The following is a 24,282-nucleotide window of genomic DNA, read 5'->3' on the forward strand; positions in this document are numbered from 1 at the left end:
GGTTAGAACCCTGGCCAGACATCCACCCAATTTCACGGGTGAACAGTTAACAGCCTCTGAGAGTCTTGTCCTCTCTGGGCCTCCGTAACACCCTCTCCAAACTAAGGGTCTCTCAGCAGATGGCCGGGTTTAGAGCTGTACGAAGACACACAGCTAATGAAAAATTGTGGAATTCTCAGAGCCCGTGAAGCCTAGCCCACGGATGCGAGGTTTGGACCACTGAGGGAACGCGCATGCGTGCTAGGCAGGGCAGTCCGAAGGCTTGGGGGTGTATCATAGGGTCTCATCGGAGGTTTGTTGGCCGTAAGACCCCTGGAATTGGAACTCTAAAAACACAGAAAGGATATGAGCTCAGGAGACTTGAACGAAAGAGTTGTCTTAGGAAGAGGGGTCAGAAGACAAGGGTGCTGGGCAAAAGGCTAGTTCTTCGAATCAGAATACGGTGGCCAGAAAGGTTCCTCTGACGAAAGAGGGGCGTGGTTCGAAGCCGTACAGTGGCCGGTAAAGCTCAAGAAACATGGAACGAAAAGGACGCGAAGAATCGGCAGGGAGAAGCGGACAGGATGTCCCGAAAGGCTCATATAACCGAAAAGGCGGGTTAATGTGAAGGGACGGAAGGGACAGAACTTGCGGGAGGCACATGCTGGCCGAGAAAGTCCTGGAGTTCGGAGCATACAGTGTTTTTATTAGGTGGAAACAAACGGGCTGGGAGAAAGACGAGTACGGTGGCCAGGTTGGTCCTTCCATAGCCGGAAGTGGCCTTCCTGAGAGGCGTGGCTGCGGCACTCTTGCCGGATAGGGTGGCCCGGCGGGGCTAGGAAAGCGTGAAATCTCGCGCGATTGCGCTGCGAAGTCGGGGACGGGGCGGGGCTGGCGGCGGGGGCGGGGACCCGGAGCGGGAAGATGGCGGCGGCGCAGGAGGCGGACGGGGCCCGCAGCGCCGTGGTGGCGGCCGGGGGAGGCAGCTCCGGTCAGGTACGGAGGCCGAGAGGGGACTGAGGGGGTTCTTCCCCAGCCGGGGGGCCTCCCACGGGGCGTGTCCTACCTCTTGTCACGGAATCCCGTGCACTGGGGGCTCCTTGGCCAGAGGGACCTTGAATACCCGGCCCAGGCAGGGCCGGACCGCCCGGGAGGCCGGACGGTGCCGGGAACAGGGCCCTGTTGCGGGTCGGTTCCCCTGCACGCTCGAGCCGGGCGGCCACCAGGCTCATTGCTCGATCCGGGGAGACAGTGGCTCGGAGGGGCGCAGGCTTGTACCTTGGCGCGCTGGGTTCTCAACTCCGCGATTCCATGCTCTGAGGCCGTTCCTAGAGTGGTCTGGCGTTCAGGTCTCGTTGTAGTGTTTGAGGTGTGCGCAGTGATTAATTGGGAGTTTTCTAGCTGTGGGGAAGTCAGTATTAGCAGGGCACGGCCGACAGACCCATTTTACAGACGGGAATTCAAGGAACAGTGAGACTAAGGCGCTTCTAGAAGGTCATCCTGGTTAGGTTTGTAACTTTATGTAGAAGTTACAAGACACTGCTGACACAGGGACTGGTATGGTTGTGGTTTTAATGTAAAATAGTTCTATGGGTTAATTAGTCCTGGTGCGGATGACTTCTGCCCCACTGCTGTCTTAACACACTGCAGAGCATACCATTTCAGGCAGCTACCGTTCAGGCATTTGGGGAATAGATGGAGAGACATGAAGGTGCTGTCGACCCACCCACTGGGATGTCACTGACATGTGGGAGGCAGCTCAGGGGAAAGGAGTGCGGGTTGAGAGGGGAGAATGAAGCTGACTCTCTGTGTGACCTTGGGCAAGTTCCTTTCCCTCTTTAGGCCTTTATCTCTCCCGTGTTAAATGCAGAGGTTGGACAGGAGGGCCAGCCATATCCCTGCTGTCAGGGGACGAAGAGAGGAGACTGACATGTAAACAGTTGTAATCCTGAATGATTAGGTTGGTGACAAAAGTCTGTGTCAGGGACTGGGGGAGCCCAGAGAAAGAGCAAGTGGTATCACTTGGGTAGGACACATGGATGAAATTTGTGTGATAGAGCCCACTGTATCTGCTCTGAATCTTTTCAGCATTCTCAGCCAGGGCCTGGCTTCAGGGACAGCTTAGGAAATGTTTGTTGAGTTAGTGCTGGAATGAAGGCTCAGTTCCTGTCTTCAAGGGTTTCCCAGTCTTGCTGAAAGGAGGTCGTTTCCCCTCTGGGTTTCTGTTGATTATTGGGTTGATGGTGGCTTGAGAGACCAGGGCCCAGGTTGTTCTCATTGCCCTGAGCTTCCAGATGGCACTCTGATCTTCTCTTGTACCAACTCTGCTTAAAAACAATCAAGAGTTACCCCTTTGCCTTTAGGACAAAGTACAAATTCTTTAATAAATCACAGTCTTGCACGATCCGACACTTTTCTTCAGACTAGACTAGGATTTCTCGAGCTCGGCACTATCAACATTTTGAATTGGATAATGCTTTGTTTGGGGGGCTGCCCTGTGCATTTTAGGATGTTTAGCAGCATCCGTGGCCTCTACGCACTAGATGTCAGTAGGATCCACGCCCCTCCCCAGTTGTGACAACCATATATGTCTCCAGACATTGCCAAATGTTCCAAGAGCAGGGGGGCAAAGCCATCCCTGCGTGAGAACAACTGCGCTAAAGGGGATCCGCTGCTCTGAACCTATTTTATTTCTAAACCTCTTTTATTGCCTCTCAGTCTCTTTCCTCATAGTCTATGCACAGGTCTCTCCCCTCTTTAGCTAGTTGATGTGTATTAGTCCTACAGATTTCAGATGTCCCTTCCTGCAGAAAGCCCTCTTTGACTGTCTGGGCTCCGCTGTCCCAGCCCTGCCCTACTGGGTTTCACTGTCTGGGGACTGGGAACCCCAGGAGGGCAGAGCCAGGACTGCCTTGATCACCACTGCTTCCTTAGCACCACTCAGCTCAGCGCCAGGCACAGAGGAGGTGCTCAGTGTTTGTGGAATGAGCGGATCTTGAAACAGAGGCTGGGCTGAGGTGGAATTCCCTGATGCCGTGGTGGATCCAGGTAATCAGTGAAGACATGCCGCAAAACCTAGCTTCCTCCTGCTCTTGCCTAGCCCTGGTGGTCTCAGCTACTTCTTGGACCCTTTAGCAGATGTTGCTGGGGATTGTGTGTGTGCGTGGACGTGCAGATCCGAGAGCAGGAACTGTGTCTTAGTCACTGATGTGTCCACAGCCACTGCCACCCTTCTCCCATGCCCAGGGCCTAGTGCACAGCAGGCACACCCTCTGCACAGTCTGCTGCTTTAGCTAGCCTGCTCCTGTAGCCAGGAACTCGGACACAGAACCCACAGCTTTGCCATTCCTTCCTTCAGCGAATGCGAATTGAGTCTACTCCATGCTAGGCCTTTGCTGATGCTGGAGATACAGCTGTGAATAAAATAGGTGCTGCCCTCTTGAAGGCCCTTACACTTATGTTCTAGTTGGAGCTGAATTTATAGGGGAAGCACAGACAGGGACACACAGTGAACAAGATAAATAAGAAAAACAGCAGTTCAGATGGCTCTGCGTGCCATGGACAGAAATAAAGCTGGGATGGGGATAGGAAGTGAGGGGTGGGTAGAAGAGTTGCAATTAAATAGGGTAGTCTAGAAGGCCTCTCTGAGGAGGTGACGCTTGAACAAAGACCTGAAGGAAGTGAGAGAGGGAGTCCCAAAGATACACGAGGGAAAAGCTTTTCAGGCAAAGGAGCAGCCAGTGCGAAGGCCCTAAAGTGGGAGGTGCCTGGTGTGATGAAGGAAGGGCGAGGAGGCTGGAGCGGGTGAGGGGAGAGGGGTGGCTGGGGACAGATGCAGATTATGCCAAGCTTTGGAGGCCATGGGGAGGACTTGGCCTTTACTCTGAGGGAAATAGGAGCTGAAAAGAGTGACTCTTTTTTTTTTTTTCTTTTTTCTGAGACGGAGTCTCGCTTTCTCACCACAATCTCGGCTCACTGCAACCTCCGTCTCCTGGGTTCAGGCAATTCTTCTACCTCAGCCTCTCAAGTAGCTGGGATTACAAGCACCTGCCACCACACCCAGCTAATTTTTGTATTTTTAGTAGAGACAGGGTTTCACCAGGTTGGCCAGGCTGGTCTTGAACTCCTGACCTCAGGTGATCTGCCCACCTCGGCCTCCCAAAGTGCTGGGATTTCAGGCGTGAGCCACCACGTCCAGCCTTGTGGTATAATTTAGATGGTATAACGTTCACCTGTTCTTAGGATAGAGTCCATTGGCTCCTGGTCCATTTATGCAGTTGTGTGGTGCAGCCATCACCACAGTCTGGTCTGAGAAAGCTTCTGTCCCCTCAAAAAGTTCCCTTTTACAGTCTCTGCTGCTCCCAATCCTAGGCAGCCACAGAGGTGCTATCTCTGTAATTTTCTAAAAATGTCTTAAACAAGGATCTAAACAACATCCAGTCTTTTGTGTCCAGCTTCTTTCATTGGGCATAATGGGTTTGAGGTTCATGTTGTTACATAGATCTGCAGTTGTTCATTTTTATTTTATTTTTTACAACCTAGGATCAGGGAAATTTGGCCTTTGGGGAAATCCTAAAGTACGTGCTCACAGTTGTTCCTTTTCACTGCTCAGTGGTAGTCTGCAGACATGACACAGTTTATTCTTTCAGTCCTTGAAGGATATTTGGATTGTTTTTAGTTTTTGTCTGTTGCCAATAATGCTGCTATGAACATTCATGTACAGGCTTTTCTGTGGCTGTATTTTGTTTCTTTTTTTTTTTTTCTAAGTAAGAGAGACAGGGTCTCCCTGTGTTGCTCAGGCTGGTCTCGAACTCCTGGGCTCAATGGATCCTCCTGCCTTGGCCTCCCAAAGTGCTAGGATTATAGGCATGAGCCACCACACCTGGCCACTGTTTGTTTTTGAGACAGAGTCATGCTCTGTCGCCTAGGCTGGAGTGCAGTGGTGTGATCCTGGTTCACTGTAGCCTCATTCTCCAAGGCTCAATTGATCCTCCCGTCTCAGCCTCCTGAGTAGCTGGGACCACAGGCATGCACTACCACACCTGGCTAATTTTTGTATTTTTATAGAGATGAGGTCTTGCTGTGTTGCCCAGGCTGGTCTTGAACTCCTGGGCTCAAGCAGTCTTCCTGCCTTGGCCTCCTGAAGTTCTGGGATTATAGGCGTGAGCCACTGCGCCTGGTCTGGCTTCATGTTTTCTGCCTCCTGGGTAGCCATTCAGGATGGGTTTGCTGGATTGTGTAGTAGGTGCACATATGACTTGTTCAATAACTGCCATATTTTCCGAAGTAGCTGTACTTTTACTTTCCCCCCTAGCAGCATACGAGGGTTCCTGTTTTTCCACATCCCTGCCAGCACTTGTGATTGTCTTTCTGCTGATAGCCATCCTAATAGGTGTGAAGTGACACCTCATTGTGGTTTTAACTTGCCTTTCCGTGGGAAGGTTCCCAGCCAGATTGCCCATCACTAACGGGTAAGCGAAGAGACCTGGGAGTCAGTCAGATGCAGCTTCAAATCCTGACCTGGCATCAAGTGTCCTTTCCTGACCCCAAATCAGCTCAGACCCATTGAAACCCATACTTGGACCCCTAAATTTCCCAATAGCTAGGCTGGCCTTGAGGAGGGGGCCTTGTGCCTGTCTGATTTCCCTTCCCCAGCCGACCCCCGCCCCATAGATCTCCTCATCAGAATGTGGCTTTCTCTGTCTCAGCCTAAGGGTCTCACCCAGACGACCCAGACGTCAAAGGGAGCTCCTCAGGGAGGCCTCTCTGACCACCCACTCCAAAGTGGATCCCTGTTCCCAACTCAGTTGCTGTCACTTCCCCCTGCTTGTTTTCCATGTACCATTTTTAATTATCCTGTTTACCGTTCTAGTGTGTTTCCTTCTAGATCCCCAGCTCTGGGTAAGCAGGGCCCAGATTTCTGTCTAAAATGTTCCAGTATTTTCACAACCTGGTCCACAGGTCAGAGAGGTGAAGTGATGTGCCCAAGGTGTCACAGCCAAGAACGGTGGGACCAGGACTATAGCTGAGGTCTGTTTGACCCTGGAGCCCCTCCAATGGTGTCCTGTGCTTTGGGAGATTACAGGAAAGAGCTCTTGCTGGTGAAGGGGACAGGAGGTGACAAGTGACACATTTAACACATGTAGCCCCTCTAACCATGCTCCTGGGACATTTGCTATCTGGTGGGTAAGGTGAATGGAGAAAACATTGCAGAGGAGTGGACTAGGGGCTGTGGAGGAGAGGGCCAGACACTGGAGCCTCAGAGGGAAGTGGGTTTGGGTGACCTGAGCGTCCGGGGTGAGTCCTTCAGGCAGCGGTGGCCACACAGGTGTTTATCACAGCCTTGCTCTGTGCCACTGGTGCTCTTGAGCTAACTGTGACTGTGATAGCCCTGGTCCTGCCTCTTGAAGGCTGATGGCTGAGGGGACAGCTGGGAGGAGGGGTGAATGAGAACAGGACTGGGGAGCTAGCAGGGTGCGTGAAGGGTGAGCAGAACATCCCCTTCCAAACCTGGCATTCAGAGAGTCTCTGATTGTGACCTTCTGTGTCTGAGTGAAGAGTCCTCCTCTGGGAAGCCGTGCCTGGCTCCCTTGCCTGCCCCCCTTCCCTTCTGTCATTCTGCTTCTGCGGTCCTTCCTGAGTGACCAGACAAGTGGCTTCACCTCTCTGAGCCTCCCTTTGCTCAGCAGCCGGATGGAGCTGGTCATAGTTTTGGCCTCAGGATTAGTGTGCTGTGTGCTGTCACAGACATGTCTTGTGGCCGTGGCTTATGGTAGCAGCTGATAGTCTGGTTGTGTTTTTCTGTGTCTGTCCCACCTGCTGGACCAGGGGCCCTTGGAGGGCAGGGTTGGCCACAGAGGGGGCCTCAGGAATGGTTTGCCCAGGGAAGGCTCTTTCAGCTAAGCCCCAGCCTTGAAGAATCTGGCACCTGCCATAAGACTCCTTCTGTTGTTGTCCCCAATAGCCACCTCCTTGCATCCTGGCTCCAGCCCCAGGGAACAGTGGACAGTCATCAGAATCAGACTGTGCCTCTAATCTTCTGTTTCTGCACCTGCTGCTTCTCTCACTTCCTCCTTTGTGCCACCAACTTGCTATGTTTTAGGTCTCAGCTTCAATGCCCCCTTCTCCAGGAAGTTGCCCCGAACCCTAGACTGGACCAGGTGCCTCTCAGGGCTCCTGCATTCCTGCCCCGTTCTGGACAGTCACTGTCTAGAGATGAATCTTTCTCCCCCACCGGGCTGTTAAACCCCAGGAGGACAGCAAAAGACTCTCTAGGTCACCACTGTCCCTAGGTCACAGAGGTGCTCTGCGAGTGTTTTCCTCCTAAAAGAAGAGGACCGCACCTTCCCAGGTGTTTTCACTGATTCATTCTCCAGTTATTGATAAGCACCCACTCTTTGCCCAGCCTGTGCCTGGCCTTCATGCATGATGGTGTCTAAGACAGCCCCCGTGTCCATTCTCCCTCCTTACCCTGGCCTCTGTCCCCCACAGGTGACCAGCAATGGCAGCATCGGGAGGGACCCGCCAGCGGAGACCCAGCCTCAGAACCCACCGGCCCAGCCGGCACCCAATGCCTGGCAGGTCATCAAAGGTGTGCTGTTTAGGTGAGCAGACGGGACTTGGGTTTGTTCACCGAAAACATTCAAATAAAAATAAGGAAGAAAGGAAAAGTCAGCTGATCAGCTGAGGATGGTGATCATTACTGTATGGTAGAGTTGCTTTTTTTCTTTTTTTTTTTGTATGATGGAATGTTTTCTAAACCTTTTTTTTACTCTGGTAAAACATACTGAAGTAGGGAGTCTCCCTGAACCTGTTCTGGTTTTTGGGGGGCTACCTGATTTGTGAAAAAATAAAAACACAAAAAATACTGAAGTAGTTTGCTAGGGCCCTTGTATCAAGTAATATAGACGGAGTAGCTTAAACAACTGAAATAGGAAATTCATTGTCTTACAGTTCTGAAGGCTGGAAGTCCAGGATCCAGCTGTGGGCAGGGGCAGTTTCTTCTGTGGCTTCTCTCCTGGGCTTGCAGAAGGCCGTCTTCTCCCTGTGTCTTCATGTGGTCTTTCCTCTGTGTGTGTCTGTGTCCTAAGCTCCTCTTATGGGGACACTAGTCATACTGGCTTAGTACCCACCATAATGACCTCACTGAACCTTACTTTTTTACAGACCCTATCTGGGCCAGGCACAATGACTCACCCTCATAATCCCAGCATTTTGGGAGGCCAGGTTGGAAGGACTGCTTGAGCCCAGGAGTTTGAGACCAGCCTGGGCAACATAGTAAGACCCTGTCTCTACTAAAAATAAAAAAATCTGGCTGGGCACGGTGGCTTACACCTACAATCCCAGCACTTTGGGAGGCCGAGGCGGGTGGATCACGAGGTCAAGAGATCGAGACCATCCTGGCCAACATAGTGATACCCCATCTCTACTAAAAATAAAAAAATTCCGGAGGCTGAGACAGGAGAATGGCGTGAACCCGGGAGGCGGAGCTTGCAGAGAGCTGAGATCGCGCTACTGCACTCCAGCCTGGGCAACAGAGAAAGACTCCGTCTCAAAAAAAATAAAAAATACAAAAAAAATACAAAAATTAGCTGGGTGTGGTGGCACGTGCCTGTAGTCCCAGCTACTCAGGAGGCTGAGGGCAGGAGAATCGTTTGAACCCAGGAGGCAGAGGTTGCGGTGAGCTGAGATCGTGCCACTGCATTCCAGCCTGGGGACAGAGTGAGACTCCATCTCAAAAAAAAAAAAAAAAAAAAAGCCAGGTATGGTGACACGTACCTGTAGTCTCAGCTATTCAAGAGGCTGAGGTAGGAGGATCACTTGAGCCTTGGAAATTTTTTTATTTTTATTTTATGTATTTTTTTTTTTTTTTGAGACGGAGTCTCGCTCTGTCGCCCAGGCTGGAGTGCAGTGGCACAATCTTGGCTCACTGCAAGCTCCGCCTCCCGGGTTCACGCCATTCTCCTGCCTCAGCCTCCCGAGTAGCTGGGACTACAGGCACCCGCCACCACACCTGGCTAATTTTTTGTATTTTCAGTAGAGATGGGGTTTCACCGTGTTAGCCAGGATGGTCTCTATCTCCTGACCTCATGATCCGCCTGCCTTGGCCTCCCAAAGTGCTGCGATTACAGGTGTGAGCCACCGCACCCAGCCTATTTTTATTTTTGTAATGGAGTCTCGCTCTGTTTCCCAGGCTGGAGTACAGTGGCGCGATCTCAGCTCACTGCAACCTCCACCTCCTGGGTTCAAGCGATTCTCCTGCCTCAGCCTCCTGAGCAGCTGGAATTAAGGTATGTGCCACCATGCCCAGCTAATTTTGTATTTTTAGTAGAGATGGGGTTTCTCCATGTTGGTCAGGCTGGTCTCGAACTCCCAACCTCAGGCAATCTGCCCGCCTTGGCCTCCCAAAGTGTTGGGATTACAGGCGTGAGCCACTGCACCCAGTGCCTAGCTAATTTTTGCTTTTTTTTTTTTTTATTAGAGATGGGGTTTCACTATGTTGACCAGGCTGGTCTCGAACTCCTGACCTCATGATCCACCCGCCTCAGCCTCCCAAAGTGCTGGGATTACAGGCGTGAGCCACTGGGCCCTGCCTGACCCTCAGAAGTTGAAGCTGCAGTGAGCCGAGATCACACCACTGTACTCCAGTCTGGGCATCAGAGTGAGACCTTATCGCAAAAAAAAGTTGGGGGGACCCTGTCTCTAAATCTAGTCACGGTGGTACTGAAGGTTGAGACTTTAACATATGAATTTTGGGAGACATGATTCAGCCCACATCTGCACATAACATCAAATTTACCATTTTAACCTATGTTTTCATTTTAACCTTTTTTTTTTTTTTTTTTTTTTTTTTTTTTGAGACAGCGTCTCACTTTGTCACCCAGGCTGGAGTGCAGTAGTGCAATCTCGGCTCACTGCAGTCTCTGCCTCCTGGGTTCAAGCGATTCTCCTGCCTCAGCCACCTGAGTAGCTGGGACTACAGGCACCTGCCACCACGCCTGGCTAATTTTTGTATTTTTAGTGGAGATGGGGTTTTGCCGTGTTGGCCAGGCTGGTCTCTAACTCCTGACCTCAGGTGATCCACCCGCCTCAGCCTCCTAAAGTCCTGGGATTATAGGCGTGAGCCACCACGCTTGGCCCATTTTAACCATTTTTAAGTATGTAGTCCTGTGGCATTAAGTACATCTCCACTGTTGTGCCCCCATCACCATTATCCATCCCGAGAATTTACTCTTCCCAAACTGAAATTCCATACCCATCAGACACAAGCTTCCCATTTCTTCCTCCTTGCAACACCTGGCAGCCACTTTTCTATTTCCTGTCTCTCTTTCACTACTCTAGTTAGCTCCTGTATGTGGAATCAGACAGCATTTGTCCTTCTGTGACTGCCTGGTGGTGACCCTTTTACCTGTGGGTTCACATGCTATTCCTGGGCAGTGGGACCCCAGGGCCTGTTTTTTCAAAGCCCAGCTTCTGTTTGAGGCCCTGGGGAGATGCTGGGTGGTGGCGGGGGAATATGCTTGGCACTGGGTTCTATCCTTCCTGCCTAGACCTAGTGACAGTCACCTTCTTTGCTCTGAGCCTTTGTTTACTCCTCTGCAAAATAGATATTCCTTTTATTTTTTTTTTGCTTTTTGGAGATGTATTTTAGCAAAATAAGAGACCACACCATGCAGTTAGGCAATCAGCTTCCCTACTTATGAGATAGAAGGAATTGCACAGCAGAGATGTTTACAACAATCATCCCGCCAGGTGCGGTGGCTCACGCCTGCAATCCCAGCACTTTGGGAGACCGAGGCAGGCAGATCATGAGGTCAAGAGATCGAGACCATCCTGGCCAATATGGTGAAACCCCATCTCTACTAAAAATACAAAAATTAGCTGGGTGTGGTGGCACAAGCCTGTAGTCCCAGCTACTCGGGAGGCTGAGGCAGGAGAATCACTTGAACCTGGGAGGTAGAGGTTGCAGTGAGCCAAGATCGTGCCACTGCACTCAAGCCTGGCGACAGAGCAAGACTGAGTCTCAAAAAAAAAAGAGAAAATAAAAATAAAACAATCATGGCTGGGCGCGGTGGCTCACGCCTGTAATCCCAGCACTTTGGGAGGCCAAGGCAAGCAGATCACGAGGTCAGGAGATCGAGACCATCCTGGCTAACACAGTGAAACGCCGTCTCTACTGAAAATACAAAAAAATTAGCCAGGTGTGGTGGCGGGCGCCTGTAGTCCCAGCTACTCAGGAGGCTGAGGCAAGAGAATGGTGTGAACCCAGGAGGCGGAGCTTACAGTGAGCCCAGGTGGTGCCACTGCACTCCAGCCTAGGCGACAGCGAGACTCCGTCTCAAAAAATAAAACAAAAATAAAAAAATAAAACAATCATTCCTTTGGCTAGAATGTCTTCACATGGCCATGGCCAGCTGCACGGGAGGCTGGGAAATGTGGTCTTTAATCTGGGAAACTGAGCACCCTGCTGGAAAGCAGGGCTCCTATTACTGAGGAAGAAGAGGAGAGTGGTTATGGGGGGCAGCTACTTATCTCTTCCATAAAATCTTATTACTGGTTTCCCTTAGCTTATAAATTATGAGTGTTTATTTTACAAAATTAAGTAGTTCAAACAATACGAAGAGTGAAAAGAAAAAGCTAATGAAAAAGTGTAATGTGGGCCGGGCGCGGTGGCTCACGCCTGTAATCCCAGCACTTTGGGAGGCCGAGGTGGGTGGATCACGAGGTTAGGAGATCGAGACCATCCTGGCTAACACAGTGAAACTGCATCTCTACTAAAAATATAAAAAATTAGCCGGGCATGGTGGCAGGCGCCTATAGTCCCAGCTACTCGGGAGGCTGAGGCAGGAGGATGGCGTGAACCTAGGAGGCGGAGCTTGCAGTGTGCCAAGATGCCGCCACTGCACTCCAGCCTGGGTGACAGAGCGAGACACAGTCTCAAAAATAAAAAAGTGTAATGTGTTGGTGGCCATCCCATAGGCACACATTTTTGTAATTGGCCCTAAATGGGATTATATATAGATGCTCACAGATAGAGTTGTTTAAAATAGAGAAAAGTTAGGAGGCGGGGGGCAGGTAGTGTCAGATAGCGTGTAAGAGCACAGCCCTGCTGACATCTCAGCCCTGCCACCTCTGAGCTCTGTGGCCTGGTCAGGTTATCACCCTTCTTGAGCCTCATTTTCCACCTCACAGACAGGGAATCTTGACAATTAGCTCAGGGTGCATCAGAAGGATTCCAAGAGAATTCATGTCAACTGAGGGGTGCAGGAGCTGGCACGCACACAGACAATGTTGGCCATGATTCCTTTTGTTGTTCAACGTGGAAAAAAAAAAAGCCTGAGCAACACAGTAAGACCCCCATCTCTCTCTCTCTCTCTCTTTTTTTTGGGAGACAGAATCTCGCTCCGTCGCCCAGGCTGGAGTGCAGTGGCGCGATCTCGGCTCACTGCAAGCTCCGCCTCCTAGGTTCACGCCATTCTCCTGCCTCAGCCTCCCGAGTAGCTGGGACTACAGGCGCCCGCCACAGCGCCCGGCTAATTTTTTGTATTTTTAGTAGAGACAGGGTTTCATCGTGTTAGCCAGGATAGTCTCGATCTCCTGACCTCGCTATCCACGCACCTCGGGCTCCCAAAGTGCTGGGATTACAGGCGTGAGCCACCGCGCCTATCCTGACCCCATCTCTGTAAAAAACTAAAAAATTAGCTGGGTGTGATGGCGCACACCTGTAGTGCCAGCTATTAGGGAGGCCGAAGAGGGAGGATCGCTTGAGCCCAGGAGGTCAAGGCTGCAATGGGCCGTGATGATACTACTGCACTCCAGCCTAGGCAACAGAGTGAGACTGTATCTCAAACAAACAAAAACCTTAGGAAATATATAGTGAAACAGTGAAAAAAAAAAGTTCATGAGGCCGGGTGCAGTGGCTCACGCCTGTAATCCCAGCACTTTGGGAGACCAAGGTAGGTGAATCACCTGAGGTCGGGAGTTCCAGACCAGCCTGACCAACATGGAGAAACCCATCTCTGCAAAAAATACAAAATTAGCCGGGCATGGCGGCTTATGCCTGTAATCCCAGCTATTCAGGAGGCTGAGGCAGGAGAATCGCTTGAACCCGGGAGGCGGAGGTTGCAGTGAGCCGAGATCATGCCATTTTACTCCAGCCTGGGCAACAAGAGTGAAACTCTGTCCCAAAAAAAAAAAAAAACAACTCATGATCCCTGATGTAGTCACTGATCACATTCTAGACTAGAGCAGAACTGCCTGCCTGGTGTCCTCCAAGAGTGTCACACAGGACACTGAGAAACTGCAGGAAAGAAACCTCCCCACTCTGTTAAGTTGCAAAACTGACATGTGTGCCTCAAAAATTCCTGCCATGTGCCCTACGCTTCTCAGTCATGCGCCCCTGTCCCTTACCGTCTCCACTTCACCTCCCCTCCCCATGGCCACGTAAAGACTTCAGATTTTCTTATATATCACCTTCTTTTTTTTCATGCTGCAAGCAGCTCTGCATGAAAATTATTTTTATCTTTCCCTTCATTTTTACATAAGAGGTAGCCTGTTTTACACACTGTTCTGCTCCTTGATTTTTTTCATTAACAATATATCTTTGAAATCTTTCCACGTCAGTGCATAGGGAGCTTCCTTCAGAGAGACATTTTTAATACAAGTCACACTGTAGGCTAATTTCCTTTCTTAGAACTAGGCAGCATCAAACATCAGTTCGGGTGGGTGCTCGGAGACCATCTTGGCTGCAGTTCTTAAAATGGGATCCAGGGTTTGTTTTCAGGGGCCCATGAACTCCTTGTAGCTTGAAGCTGATTATGTGGGAATAGCCTTTCTAGATAGCGGGTGGCGTCTGTGTTTTTGAGCACATGTGGTTACCTGGAGTGGGAGGTGGAGCAGGAACTGGGTATATAAAGGAATGGGGTGGGAGGGAGAGTTTTGATTATACGTCTTTTCATATATTTAAAAATGTTCTGAACCTGTGACTGTAGAATACCTATTTGGGTGGGAGAAAGGATTTAATGTCTGTTTTCTTTGCTTACTCAAGTACATCAGGAAGCATTAGAAAGGTCCAGTCTCCTGCAGGCCTGGGTGCATGGATGAGGGGCCATGGCCATGAGCCCTCTGAGAGGGTCCACAGAACTGTGGGCGTGTGGATACACACAGGACGTTCTTCAGGGGACTGGGGATCTGGAATCCAAAAAGGCCTGGCCTTGTTTTATACATGGGGATCTAGAAGCCCAGAGGGGTTAGGACCCCCACAGCCACACACTAAGCCAGGGGCAGAGCTGCCTGGGGGCATCACTGCTTCTACACTCTCCCCTGGTGTGTTTACTAAAATGAGAGCCTCTGCTGGAGGCATCGGTATCCCCAGAGATTGCCAGGTCCAGACCTTCCCCAGACGTGCATATCAGGGACTTCATGGGGAGGTAGCGATGGCTCAGCTGGACCGTGGCCCCTAAGACCCTGGACCCCAGGGCCTTGTGGCTTCTACAGGCAGAGGCAAGTTCCTGTGCCTGATCCTGCCCCTGATCAGGGCTCAGCAGGGAGGCACCCCACCCACACTAGAATTTACTCATAGTGTTTTTCTGCTCCAAAGTTTTTTGTATGCCTTTTTCCTATGATTAAAATAACAGTAATAGCTAACACTTCTCAGTCACTTACTGGGTATGCACCAGGCTCCATTCTGAGGTACGTGTGCGTGTGTCAGATGTATATACACGCTATATAAACATATATATAATTTAATGTGTTTAATGCTTATAAACTACCCTATGAGAGTAGGCACTGTTATTATCCCCATTTCAACCATTGAAGTTGACCACTGAGGTCACAGTAAGTAGCAGAGCTGGGCTTCAGATGAAGATACTGTAGTTTAGAGGCTGGGCTCATAACCTCTTCTGCTGTATGGTTATCATACCTATAATTAATAAGTACTTGAATCATTTAATCACATGGCTGCATGCAGCTGAGAAACCTCCATTAACACAGTACAGGTTCATTTCTCTCTGATATACCAGTCTGGATGGAGGCAGACTAGGATTCTGCAGTCTTCAGTGACCCAGACTCCTTGCTGTTTGTTGTGCCATTGCTAGGTTTTTCCCTTTATCCTCATAGCCCAAGACAGCTGCTGAAGATTCAGCCATCACATCCACACTCCAGGCAACAGGAGAGAAGAATAAATCAAGAAGGAATATTTCTTCTCTTTAAGGACACTTTTTTTTTTTTTTTTTTGAGATGGAGTCTTACTCTGTCACCCAGACTGGAGTCCAGTGGCATGATCTCGGCTCACTGCGACCTCCACCTCCCAGGTTCAAGCGATTCTTTTGCCTCCGCCTACCAAGTAGCTGGGATTACAGGCGCCCGCCACCACGCCCGGCTAATTTTTGTATTTTTAGTAGAGATGGGGTTTCACCATGTTGGCCAGGTTGGTCTCGAACTCCTGACCTCAAGTGTTGGCTTCCCAAAGTGCTGGGATTATAGGTGTAAGCCACCACGCCCAGCCTCGTTTTGGTTTTGGTATCTGTTGTTGCTGCTGATTCTCGCTCATAATGTCGTTTCCTTTTGTGCCTGGCTTATCTCTGTCTGTGTCCTAGTCATTATACTTGAAAAGTTATTTGTAGGAATTTCAGGGCTAGGATGAGCATATTTTCCTACAGAGAGGATTGCCTTTGCTTCTGCCTGGGGGCATTACCAAGTCCTAGGTTTCCTTGCACCAGGTTCAGGGCTTGAGCTGCCCTTCGTGACTCCTTATCCCACGAGTGGCCTTGCATACTTCGCCCTGCATACCTGTTGTGCAACTCCTGGGAATGGGTAGGCCACCTGGTTCCTTCCTTCTCAGGGGTGGAGGCTTGCACCTTGTGGGGTCTTAGTTTCCTATAGGGTAGGTCTCTGGTTACCTCATATGTTGTATGTGCCCTGGGCTAGCATTTTTTTTTTTTTTTTTGAGACAGGGTCTCACTCTGTTGCCCAGGCTGGAGTGCAGTGGCATGATCGTGGTTCACTGCAGCCTCGACCTCCTGGGCTCAGGTGATTCTCCCACCTCAGCCTCCTGAGTAGCTGGGAATATAGGCATGGTGCGTGCTGCCATGCCTGGCTAATTTTTGTATTTTTTGTAGAAACTGTGTGTTGCCCAGGCTGGTCTCAAACTCCTGGGCTCAAGCAATCCACCTACCTCAGCCTCCCAGCGTGCTGGGGTTACAGGTGTGAGCCACCGCGCCCAGCCTAGGCCAGCATTTTTGTCACCCACCAAAACACCTAGCAGATGTCCTCGGACACATGAAGAAGCTTATAGGGCTCCTTTACTTATTCTTTTTTTTTTTTTCCCCTAGACCTGCAAATCCAAGATCCTTTACTTCTTTTTTTTTTTTTCCTTGAGATGGACTTTTTGCTCTTGTTGCCCAGGCTGGAGTGCCATGGCACGATCTCGGTTCACTGCAACCTCCTTCTCCTGGGTTCAAGCGATTCTCCTGCCCCAGCTTCCCGAATAGCTGGGATTACAGGCATGCACCACCACTCCTGGCTAATTTTTGTATTTTTAGTAGAGATGGGGTTTCACCATGTTGGCCAGGCTGGTCTTGAACTCCTGACCTCAGGTGATCCACCCACCTCGGCCTCCCAAAGTGCTGGGATTACAGGCTTGAGCCACCGCGCCCGGCCGATCCTTTACTACTTTAGGATTCCCACTTTCCCTTCAGTTTTTGCCTGAAGGTTTGGTAACCTACAGTCGTGTCCATTCTTCAGAGCTGTCTATTTATATATATTCATATGTAAACTTGATAAAAATTACATGCATGAGAACAAATACGAGAATACGTGAGCAGCATATATTCTCATTCTATCAATATGTATAATTACAAATATAAAATATATTGATATTTTCTTAGTGTATTAATTTTATCAAGCTTTTCCAATTTTTTCCAGTGAGAGGGTTGGTCTGAATAATTAAGCCCACTGTTACTAAAATTGGAACTAACGTATCACTTACTATCTGCTTCTCCAAAAATTCTCCAAAAGTTCAGAAATGTTGCTCTTTCTAAGCTTCTGTGCCTTCGGTTCTTTTCCTTTTCTTTTTTAAAAAATTTAATTAATTAATTGATTAATTTTTTTGGGACAAGCTCTCTATCTCCCAGGCTGGAGTGCAGTGGCGCAATCACGTCTCACTGCAGCCTTGACCGTCAGGGCTCAAGTGACTCTCTCACCTCAGTCCCCCAAGTAGCTGGGACTACAGGCATGGGCCACCATGCCCAGCTAATTTTTATATTTTTTGTAGAGACGGGATTTCATCATGTTGCCCAGGCTGGTCTCAAACTTTTGAGCTCAAGCAATCCGCCTGCCTCAGCTTCCCAAAGTGCTGGGATTACAAGCATGAGCTGCTACACCTGACCCAATTATACTTTTTTTTTTTTTTTTTTTTTTGAGATGGAGTCTCACTCTGTTGCAAGGCTGGAGGGCAGTGGCGCAATCTCGGCTCACTGCAACCTACGCCTCCCGGGTTCAAGTGATTCTCCTGCCTCAGCCTCCCAAGTAGATGGGACTAGAGGCACGCACCACCAGGCCCAGTTAATTTTTGTATTTTTAGTAGAGACAGGGTTTCACCATGTTGGCCACGATGATCTCGATTTCTTGACCTCGTGATTTGCCCACTTCAGCCTCCCAAAGTTACAGGCATGAGCCACTGTGCCTGGCCTCTATACTTCTTAAGTTATTTTAAAATGTGTAATTAAATTACTATTGACTAGAGTTGCCGTGTTTTGCTACCAAATACTAGATCTCATTCATTCTTTTTTTTTTTGAGATGGAGTCTCGCTCTGTTGCCCAGGCTGGAGTGCAGTGGCGCGATCTTGGCTCACTGCAACCTCTGCCTCCTGGGTTCACACCATTCTCCTGCCTCAGCCTCCGGAGTAGCTGGGACTACAGGCGCCCGCCACCATGCCCAGCTAATTTTTTTGTATTTTTTAGTAGAGACAGGGTTTCACCATGTTAGCCAGGATGGTCTCAATCTCCTGACCTCGTGATCCGCCCGCCTTGGCCTCCCAAAGTGCTGGGATTACAGGCATGAGCCGCCGCGCCCGTCCTCGTTCATTCTATTTTTTGTAGCCATTAACCATCCCCGGTTCTGTGCTTTTGAAGCGCTAGGATTCCAGATTCTTTCTTTTAAAAATTTTATGTTTATTATTTTTTCTTTATTTCTTTTTTCTTTTAATTCATCCATCTGCACACTGAAGGGGTTCCAGATTCTTAGTCTCCTCTCGGGGGATCCCAGGGGGCTGGATGGCAGGTTTCCCAGTCTGAGTCAAGAGTCAGCCCCTGCAGCCCTGTGGTCACCAGGAGCTCCTGCAGGATTTAGAGTCAAGGGTCTGCATGCAGACCAGGGCAGTGCCAGCTACCCCCACACACTGGCAAACGGTGGCATCTGGGCTCCCTCCCCAGATGTGGTCTTTAGGGACATCTTATCTCCTTGCCAGCCCTGTGACTACCTTCTCAGGGCCTCCCTGACTTGGTCACTAGCCCCAGGTCAGGCGCCAGCATGTGCTAAGTCAGAAGGAAGTCAGGCGGGTCTATGGCGGAGAGCCAAGGCTTGGGGACTCACCACCTTGCTGCTTCTCTCCTCAGGATCTTCATCATCTGGGCCATCAGCAGTTGGTTCCGCCGAGGGCCGGCCCCTCAGGACCAGGCGGGCCCCGGAGGAGCTCCACGCGTCGCCAGCCGCAACCTGTTCCCCAAAGACACTTTAATGGTAACTGCCGGGTGGTAGGGCAGACTTGGGAGGTGATGGGGTGTGGAGGGGTGGAATGTGGAGGAGTGATGTCAGCAGTCGGGACAGACCAGGTCCTTGCTCACTGGCAGGTCTAGGAAAACAGGTCCAGGGTTGAGGAACTCTGGGCCCATCCCCAACACGTGAGACCTCTGTCACCTGGGTCCATCCCCAGCACATAAAACCTGTGTCACCCAAAAGAAAAAGCAAATTCATTTGGTTAAAATAGGTTAAATCAGGGTCTTTGGATGTTATATTTCAAAAGTATGTTCAGCCTTTCAGGGTTGCAGAGGGAGATGTGCAAGGGAGAGAGTGTGAGAGGTGGGGAGGGCAGGGAGCCAGCAGAGGCTGACAGGAGGTGGGCCCGGAAGGAGAGGAGACCTGCACTTCCACAGTGGGCTTGGGCACAGGCAGGGCAGGGCTTCAGGAGCCTCCAGAGCAAAAGCATTTAGATCTGTCAGTCTAGGCTTTTCTGAGCAAACATGGCCATTGGGGCTTGAGAAAGGAGGAAGTTCTTGTTGGGTCACAGTGGGTTTTTTTTTTTTTTTTTTTTGAGATGGAGTCTCACTCTGTCGCCCAGGCTAGAGTGCAGTGGCATAATCTTAGCTCACTGCAACCTCTGCCTCCCGGGCTCCAGTGATCCTCCTGCCTCAGCCTCACGACTAGCTGGGATTACAGGCATGTGCCACCACGTCCAGCTAATTTTTTGTATTTTTAGTAGAGATGGGGTTTTACCTTTTTGGTACGCTGGTCTCGAACTCCTGACCTCAAGTGGTCTACCCGCCTTGGCCTCCCAACGTGCTGGGATCACAGGCATGAGCCACCGTGCCCGGTGGCTCACAGTGCTTTTGTAGCTCTGGACTGCTTCGTCCATAAGCCTGCAGAGCTCTGACCAGGAAGGCCCAGCAGCCATGAGGGCAGGAGATCATTCAGGGAGCTCCTGCCCCTTCCTACCCCTAAATTCTAATTGGCAGGCTGGCCAGTCTCCAAGTGTTCTTTGTTCGTTGACTTCACAGGCTCAGACCAGGACAAACATGGTGGTATGAGAAAAGAGAAAATATGTCCTCTCTGCTGCTCTTCCTCTCTCCTCTCCCCTGTCCTCCATAATTACTGTTCCCCTGAGTGTGCTGACCGCTGCCATAGCTCTTTAGCCAGCCTGCAGAGGCTCTGAAGAGCAGGCCTGAGCTCTGTTCCCTTCCTGTCCCAACAGAACCTGCATGTGTACATCTCAGAGCACGAGCACTTTACAGACTTCAACGCCACGTCGGCACTCTTCTGGGAACAGCACGATCTTGTGTATGGCGACTGGACTAGCGGCGAGAACTCAGACGGCTGCTACGAGCACTTTGCTGAGCTCGATATCCCACAGGTGGGGGCAGCTCTCGGTTTCTGGCCCCATGGCTGCTTGACTGGCACTGAAGGACCTTTTCCTCCAGTCCGCTCCTTGCTGAGAGCATGTGGAGTTTGGGCTCCAGGCTTGGCCCTTCCCTGGGCTCACATGGTCTGTGACCACAAGCCAGTCCCTGAGATCTCTGGGCTTCACTTTCCCCTACCTGAAAAAGGTAGATAGGGGTGGAATTGGCCTGGGACCCTCCCAGCTACCTCTAAGGTTGTGCAGTCCTCCACTTTAAACTGGTGAAAGATTAGTAATTGTCCTTGGGGATGTTTGCCTATCACCAGTTTATCAGGCAGCCCCGTTTCAAAATAATATTAGTTAATGTTGATTGAGCTAAGTGCAGGGTACTAAGCTAGGCTGACTCATGGAAATTTCCCGGCAACCCTGTGAAGCAGGAACTGTTATTATTCTCATTTAACATGTGAGGAAACTGAGAGAGAAGGAAAGTGATTTACCCAAGGCCACATCGCATGAGAGATTCAGACTCAGGCTCTACGGCTGTGGACTCTCGCAGCCCTAGGCTCAAATCCAACCTCCTCCAGGAAGCCCTCCCTGACTCACAGAGCACTCAGGCTTGGTTAAGCACCCTCTCTGGGTTCTCACACCTGCTGGGCTTCCCCATCCCAGCCCATTCTGGGGCCTCATTGGGACTCCTGTATGGGACTGTGAGCCTTGTGATAATAAGGCTGGGGCTGCCTAGATCACTTCCATGTCCCCAGCACTGCCCAACGTGGGGCTGGGTGCAGAATCAGCAAGTATTGAACAAGTAAAAGGGACATCTCTCTTTGGGGCCTTCTTCGGCTGAGTCCAAGACAGCTGCCCTCATTCCTTTCTCCCCAGCAGGCCTTCTCAGCTTTGGGGTGGAGGGCACATTTCTGTTCTATTTCTGTCTGGGTAGCTAGAAGCAGAATGTGGACACAGTCATTCTGGTTTTTTTTTTTGTTTTTTGTTTTTTTTTGAGACAGCGTCTCGCTCTGTCACCCAGTCTGGAGGGCAGTGGCGCAACCTTGGCTCACTGCAACTTCACCTCCCAGGTTCAAGCGATTCTCATGTGCCAGCCTCCTGAGTAGCTGGGACTAAGGCACACATGATCACACCCAGCTAATTTTTTTATTTTTTAGTAGAGACAAGGTTTCACTATGTTGGCCAGGTTGGCCTTGAACTCCTGACCTCAAGTGATCCACCTACCTTGGTCTCCCAAAGTGCTGGGATTACAGGCGTGAGACACCGCGTCCAGCCATCATTCTTTTCTTTTTGAGATGGGGTCTTGCTCTGTTGCCTAGGCTGAAGTGCAGTGGTGCAATTACAGCTCACTGCAGCCTCAACCTCCTGGGCTCAAGCAATCTTTTCACCTCAGCCTCCCAAGTAGCTGGGACAACAGGCATGCACCACCATGCCCAGCTAATTTTTTGTAGAGATGGGGTCTCAACATGTTTCCCAGGCTGGTCTCAAACTCCTCTGCTCAAGCGATCCTCTCACCTCAGCCTCTCAAAGTGCTGGAATTACAGGCATGAACCACCCCACCTGGCTGGACTTTCTGACCTGCACTGAGAGGTGACTCCCACAGAGACCTCAAGCCCAGCCCCCAGGCCTTGCCACGAGATCCAAGGAAGGACCAGGGCCTGGCAGGCCCAGCAGGGGGATCTGCTTCCAAGGGCTTGGATCTAAGTCGAAGCTTCAGGGTGGGGTCCAAGTGGACTTAAAAGGCAGGAGAGCTGGGCACAGTGGCATGTGCCTGTAGGCACAGCTACTCAGGAGGCTGAGGTGGGAGAATGGCCAGAGCCCAGGAGTTTAAGACTGTAGTGTGCCATGATCGCAACTGCAAATAGCCAGTGCACTCCAGCCTGGGCAACACAGGAAGACCCCATCTCTAAAAAAGATAGGGAGAGTGAGGAGAACACAATGTGGCCAACTGAATTCGAGCTCTGCACAAGGATCAGAGAGGTTCAGTGCTCGCCTTTGTCTCCACCCAGTGCCCCTGGACAACTTGCCTCCCTTCTTGAAGCCTCAGTTTCCTCATCTGGATCAAGTGAGAATAGTCCCCCTTCCCTGGGAGGCAAGGAGACTTGATGAGATAATGAGGAAGACTTGGGCAGAGAGGGGCCAGCTGGAGGTAGCAGGGAGTAGCACCCAGGAGCCCACAGACTGGGTTTCCATCTGCGTACTTGCCACACACTATGTGACCCCTTGGCATGAGCCCCGTTTGCCTCATCTGCAAAATGGGGTGGTAACATGACCCATTGCATAAGGTTGACATGTTATATGTGTGTTAACTCGTTAGATTAGGAAGCTGTTGTCTGAAGTGCCCAGGGCAGGGTCTGGCCCATAGTAGGAGCTCCATGTCGGTCAGCTGCTTCTTCCTGTTGAGTGAGCTTAACGAGAGCTCGTTGACTGAGCTGTGTGCCAGTGCTCCAGGTAGTCCCTGCAGTGGTGCCCTCGGGTCAGTGCTGTGGGAACTTCGCATCCTCTAGGTGGGGCCCTGAGGCTCAGAGAGAAGCTGAGCTCACACGGCCATGGCAGGTAGAGCGGGCGTCTGAGTCTGTCTGACTCCAGCATTTACCTCTCTGCCACCCAGCTACATGCCCCACCCTGAGTACTCAGTAAATGGCCAGAGAGTTGAGGGGGAGGAAACTGCTGCAGATGGGTGCCAGGCAGGGCTTTAACGTTTCCCTCACCCCAGTTGCCCAGCCTGCCCACCTGACCTTCCGTCTTTTGCAGAGCGTCCAGCAGAACGGCTCCATCTACATCCACGTTTACTTCACCAAGAGTGGCTTCCACCCAGACCCCCGGCAGAAGGCCCTGTACCGCCGGCTTGCCACAGTCCACATGTCCCGGAGTAAGTCGCTCCCCTGCAGCCAGGACCCACTGTCCAGGAGGCCAGCATCCTGGGAGCCCCCAGGCTAATGTGGCGGACAAATCCCAAGTCCAGGAGGGCAGGCAGGAAGCCTGTGCTCAAAGAGGGTGGGATTGGCAGGGCAGGCTCAAGCCCCACCCAGCCTGAAAGAGCCCTGTGGACACTAAGCAGGGATACCCACGGAGGAAGGGAGACCCACGGAGGCTCAGGGACCAGAGAGAAATTGGCCAGAAAAAGCAGCTGGAGACAGGGACTCTTGGAGAGGAGGAGACGTCCTTCACCAAGGGGGAAGGGCCAGGGTTGACTTTTGCACAGTAGGGGCCTGATAGAAGTAGACACTCAAAAATAATTTGTGGGCTGGGTGCAGTGGTTCATGCCTGTAATCCTAGCACTTTGGGAGACAAGGTGGGCAGATTGCTTGAGCCCAGGAGTTTGAGACCAGCCTGGGAAACATGACAAAACCCTGTCTCTACCAAAAAAGACACAAAAACTAGCTGGGCGTGTGCCTGTAGTCCCAGCTGCTCAGGAGGCTGAGGTGGGAGGATCGCTTGAGCCCAGGAGGTGGAGGTTGCAGTGAGCCAGAATCACACCACTGCACTCCAGCCTGGGTGACAGACCGAGAACCTGTCTCAAAAAGATAGATAGAGGCCGGGCACAGTGGCTCACGCCTGTAATCCCAGGACTTTGGGAGGCCGAGGCGGGTGAATCACAAGGTCAAGAGATAGAGACCATCCTGGCCAACACGGTGAAACCCCGTCTCTACTAAAAATACAAAAATTAGCTGGGTGTAGTAGCATGCTCCTGTAGTCCCAGCTACTTGGGAGGCTGAGGCAGGAGAATCGCTTGAATCCAGGAGGCGGAGGTTGCATTGAGCTGAGATCACGCCATTGCACTCCAGCCTGGTGACACAGCAAGACTCCGTCTCCGTCTCAAAAAAAAAAAAAATAGATAAAATTCAAAGAACAGTGTGGGCAACATAATGAGACTTCGTTGCTACAAAAATTAATAGCCAGGTATGGTGGTGAGCACCTGTGGTTCCAGCTACATGGGAGGCTGAGGTGGGAGGATCGCTTGAACCTGGGAGGTCAAGGATGCAGTGAGCTGTGATTGCACTACAGCTTTCCAGCCTGGGCGACAGAGCAAGTCCACGTCTCTGAAAAAACAATAGTAATAAAAAATAAGACTACCACTTCTACTCCCATGATAACTCATTAATCCATTAAACCACTAATCCATGAATGGGTTAATCAGTTCCTGAGGGGAGGGTCCTCATGACCCAGTCACCTCTTAAAAGCC

General features: G+C 50.8%; 1 protein-coding gene across 3 annotated transcripts in view, besides 4 other annotated features; it reads left to right on the forward strand.

Annotated features, from left to right (window-relative positions):
- Positions 1–92: 92 nt before the first annotated feature.
- CLPTM1 (CLPTM1 regulator of GABA type A receptor forward trafficking) overlaps positions 93–24,282 on the forward strand; it is a 38,757-nt gene continuing 14,567 nt past the window's right edge. The window contains exons 1-5 of one of the 3 annotated variants that reach the window (NM_001282176.2): positions 93–209; positions 7,471–7,583; positions 18,595–18,718; positions 19,947–20,105; positions 22,851–22,968. In NM_001282176.2, coding sequence (NP_001269105.1) covers positions 18,716–18,718; positions 19,947–20,105; positions 22,851–22,968 — 280 coding nt within the window. In that variant the 5' untranslated portion in view covers positions 93–209; positions 7,471–7,583; positions 18,595–18,715. Of the gene's footprint in view, positions 210–500; positions 594–887; positions 976–7,470; positions 7,584–18,594; positions 18,719–19,946; positions 20,106–22,850; positions 22,969–24,282 lie in introns of those variants that run through there. The other 2 variants (NM_001282175.2, NM_001294.4) reach the window with 2 other exon arrangements.
- Positions 811–1,140: a silencer, noted in NCBI's record as "silent region_10745". NCBI's record gives its function as "represses an Ori minimal core promoter by ATAC-STARR-seq in GM12878 lymphoblastoid cells {active_cell/tissue: GM12878}" and the evidence as "EXISTENCE:reporter gene assay evidence [ECO:0000049][PMID:35858748]".
- Positions 5,287–5,487: a silencer, noted in NCBI's record as "peak3513 fragment used in MPRA reporter construct". NCBI's record gives its function as "represses an SCP1 promoter by STARR-seq MPRAs in K562 erythroleukemia cells {active_cell/tissue: K562}" and the evidence as "EXISTENCE:reporter gene assay evidence [ECO:0000049][PMID:32103011]".
- Positions 6,755–7,074: an enhancer, noted in NCBI's record as "active region_14775". NCBI's record gives its function as "activates an Ori minimal core promoter by ATAC-STARR-seq in GM12878 lymphoblastoid cells {active_cell/tissue: GM12878}" and the evidence as "EXISTENCE:reporter gene assay evidence [ECO:0000049][PMID:35858748]".
- Positions 7,241–7,394: a silencer, noted in NCBI's record as "fragment chr19:45464990-45465143 (GRCh37/hg19 assembly coordinates)". NCBI's record gives its function as "represses an EF-1alpha promoter that drives an FKBP-Casp9 reporter gene in an ReSE screen in HepG2 liver carcinoma cells {active_cell/tissue: HepG2}" and the evidence as "EXISTENCE:reporter gene assay evidence [ECO:0000049][PMID:32094911]".

Source organism: Homo sapiens, chromosome 19 (genome assembly GCF_000001405.40).
Source record: "Homo sapiens chromosome 19, GRCh38.p14 Primary Assembly".
Classification (NCBI taxonomy): Eukaryota; Metazoa; Chordata; class Mammalia; order Primates; family Hominidae; genus Homo; species Homo sapiens.